The sequence below is a fragment of the Homo sapiens genome, chromosome 10, assembly GCF_000001405.40.
Source record: "Homo sapiens chromosome 10, GRCh38.p14 Primary Assembly".
Taxonomy (NCBI): domain Eukaryota; kingdom Metazoa; phylum Chordata; class Mammalia; order Primates; family Hominidae; genus Homo; species Homo sapiens.
Genome location: NC_000010.11, coordinates 131,579,360 through 131,582,803, shown reverse-complemented (window position 1 = coordinate 131,582,803; position 3,444 = coordinate 131,579,360). Strand labels below are relative to the sequence as shown.

At 50.8% G+C, this 3,444-nt stretch overlaps 2 annotated features.

Moving 5' to 3' along the window:
* Positions 1,097 to 1,635: an enhancer, noted in NCBI's record as "H3K27ac-H3K4me1 hESC enhancer chr10:133379432-133379970 (GRCh37/hg19 assembly coordinates)". NCBI's record gives its function as "activates a minimal SCP1, AML or CMV promoter by ChIP-STARR-seq in naive H9 embryonic stem cells {active_cell/tissue: H9 hESC(naive)}" and the evidence as "EXISTENCE:reporter gene assay evidence [ECO:0000049][PMID:30033119]".
* Positions 2,556 to 3,056: an enhancer, noted in NCBI's record as "H3K4me1 hESC enhancer chr10:133378011-133378511 (GRCh37/hg19 assembly coordinates)". NCBI's record gives its function as "activates a minimal SCP1, AML or CMV promoter by ChIP-STARR-seq in primed H9 embryonic stem cells {active_cell/tissue: H9 hESC(primed)}" and the evidence as "EXISTENCE:reporter gene assay evidence [ECO:0000049][PMID:30033119]".

Below are 3,444 nucleotides of genomic sequence, written 5' to 3'. Positions count from 1 at the left end.
ACATAGCATTTGGGAGGAGAAAAAAAAGTTCTTAGAAAGTAAAAAGTGATAGAAGAATAGCAACAAGCAACAAAAAATCTCCAGGCTTTGCAACTGTCTATTGAACCTCAAAACCTAAGTTTTTTCATCTGCAAAGTGGGATTGTAATGGTGCCCCCCTTGCTAGATTGTTGGCGTAATGCCCGGCACAAGACTATCAGTAAGAGTCAATTACTTCCAAGGGTCAGAATCTGTATAACGAACACAACTTATAGATATGACAAATATTTCATTAATTTTTAGATTTAGAATAGTAAAATAACTAAAAATAACCTGTCTAAAGCAGAAGGATTAAATAAGCTGTTGAATTTAAAACAAGCATTAAACTATATTTTTGATGTATGTTAAATGACATAAGAAAAAACAAGTAATATGTTGCGTGAAAAAAATACTAAACAGCATTATTCTAATTTTATGAGTACATTTACAAACAGAAACACACAAAACTGGAAGGAATTATTTCTTGGGAGCAAGACTATCAAGTACTTTGATTTTCTTCAGACTATTTTACATTTCCTATATTACTGACAATGAGCATGTATGTGTTAATTTGATTATTAGATAAACACTCTAAATCTAATGAAATAGCACTGATGCAAGATTTTCATAAATGAGGACTATGATATTTTTATGTTAAAAATAAAAAATACAGGGGGTCCATTCCAAGATGGCTGAACAGGAACAGCTCCGCTCTGCAGCTCCCGGCGTGATTGATGCAGAAGACAGGTGATTTCTGCATTTCCAACTGAGGTACCTGGTTCATCTCATTGGGACTGGTTGGACAGTGGGTGCAGCCCACAGAGGGTGAGCCAAAGTAGGGCAGGGCATCACCTTCCCTGGGAAGCACAGGGGGTTGGGGGATTTCCCTTTCCTCACCAAGGGAAACTGTGACAGACTGTACCTGGACAAATGGGACACGTCCACCCAAATGCTGTGCTTTTCCCAAGGTCTTAGCAACTGGCAGATGAGGAGATTCTCTCCCATGCCCAGCTCGGCAGGTCCCATGCCCACGGAGCCTTGCTCACGGCTAGCACAGCAGTCCGAGACTGAACTGCCAGGTGGCAGCCTAGCTGGGGAGGGGCGTCCACCATTGCTGAAGCTTGAGTAGGTAAACAAAGCGGCCAGGAAGCTCAAACTGGGTGGAGCCCACCACAGCTCAACAAGGCCTGCCTGCCTCTGTAGACTCCACCTCTGGGGGCAGGGCATAGCTGAACAAAAGGCAGCAGAAACTTCTGCAAACTTAAATGTCCCTGTCTGACAGCTCCGAAGAGAGCAGTGGTTCTCCCAGCATGGTGTTTGAGCTCTGAGAACAGAGAGACTGCCTCCTCAAGTGGGTCCCTGACCCCCGTATAGCCTAACTGGGAGACACCTCCCAGTAGGGGCTGACTGACACCTCACACAGCCAGGTGCCCCTCTGAGATGAAGCTTCCAGAGGAAGGATCAGGCAGCAATATTTGCTGTTCTACAGCCTCCGCTGGTGATACCCAGGCAAACAGGCAAGGCAAGGGTGTGGGGAGGCTGGTGAGGTCTTCTTCTCTCCAATATCCTAGGCCAGGCCATATGGCTGTGCAATGTGTTTCCCTGAACAATACAGTTGATCCTGTGCACCCTGAACTTCTCAGAACGGAGATTTGCGATTCCCTGAAATTGCTAAACTGCTCTATGAGAAAGATATTTCCTGCAGCATTGTATATAAATCTGGCTTCTGACCCATATTCTGCAAAGGCATTTCTGGCATTTCTAGTGTAGCTCTACAGCCTGACACCCTGGAGGATGTTACTGCTGCTTCTCCTGCCCAGATGCCAGCCTTAGATGTCCTGGGCTCACCTATCCCCATTGAGATATGCTTGCAGCCTGTGTGGGGCTCAGAGGCTCCATCATTGCAGCTGGGATTTCCCCCCTGGAAGAGGTCATGGGCAAGTCTCTCTATCAGAAATCCACCCCAGGGCAAACGCCGCTGCGGGGCCTGAAGTTCCAGCTCCCCATCTAACTGACTCATCTGAGACATGCTTCCCAGGGAAAGGCCAAAGGCAGTGGGCCCCATGGGAAGAGCTCCTTGCTCTGACATTTTCTGCTTTTTTGGAAAAAGTCCACTGGGCCATAGCTTAGAACCATCCTGTTGGTCCTCGAAGCTGGAGCTTCTGTAAAGATGCACAAAAAATTGTCCCTGGACTTGCTGCGAGCACAGATTCTTAGTGGTCCTGCCTGGCAACGGACCGTGAAAAGCCAGGACCCACCCTCCTTACAGGTGATGCGGTCTAGGCTAGAAGGTCCTGGGCTCACCTCATCTCTGCCTGAGCTGCTTCTGGCTCCAGCCCCCTCCCCTGCCTTCCCTCACACCACTTAGGGTGGGCACAGGGCGTGTCCTCCCAGTGGGACAGAGCAGGTCCTGGTGTCTGGGATCTCCAGGGTGGAAACCTGTCTTTGTCTAAAGAATGAACATCAGGGAAGCATGGCTCTAACGAGGTGGCTCACTCACAGCAGGCCACAGCAGCTGTGCCTGAGATTGCAGCCTCTCGTGTCTGATGGAGAGGAGACTCTCGCCCATCCAGGGGAAAGGGCTCTGGGGAATTCTGTGCAGCTGCAGATGGGGAAGAAACCCAGGCAATCCCATCCACTTCCTCACTCTGCGTTGTTTCTTTATGCTACACCTTCGGCAGGAGGGCCCCCTAGTCCCTCCTTTGGGGAGCAGGACAGCTTAAGGGTTTGAAAGCACCCAAGGGTCTGGGAGAGGAGTCACAGCTGTGTGAGCCAGGAGCCCTCCCCATCACCACATGGCTGGGCCGGCTGAGAGAGGCTCTCAGTGCAGAGCTGAATTGTCATATCCCCCGTCCCCAAGGCCTAGGCTGGGCCTGCCTTCCAGGGGGCTGAAATATGGACACCCTTTGGGAAAGGCACAGCCAGGACAAGGGAGTTGTGACAGTGGGAGTCCAAGGTGGAGGACGGCCCCTCCTCAGGCCATGCTCTGTCTGGCAGGTCACTGGGACAGTAGGCAGGTCCAATTCTGCAGCCAGCCTTCCACAGGCAGTACTGGGGCCTCCCGGGGTTTCCTCAGCCCAGGGCCCACGCAGAGAGCCTGCCGTCAGAGCCACATTCAGGGCTGGAGGGTGCATATGTCTAGAGCCACCCTCCAGAAAGCGAGGCGTAGTCGTGTTGGGTCGAAACCCCCATTCTTGCGATTCAGCTCACCGACGAGGCTGCTGTCGGCCGGGTTTGGGCAAACAAAACCTAACCCCAGAAAAGGAATAATGGTTGGATCTGAGGCCTGAGACAGGAGCAGACAGCCCTGCTCAGCCCTGAGGCCACTACCAATGGGTTCATCTCCAGCAGACAAAAATAGGAGCTGCTTGCTGGCCTAGCAGGCTAGGAAGAGAACTTAGCGTATTCATGTGGGATAGACTGCACC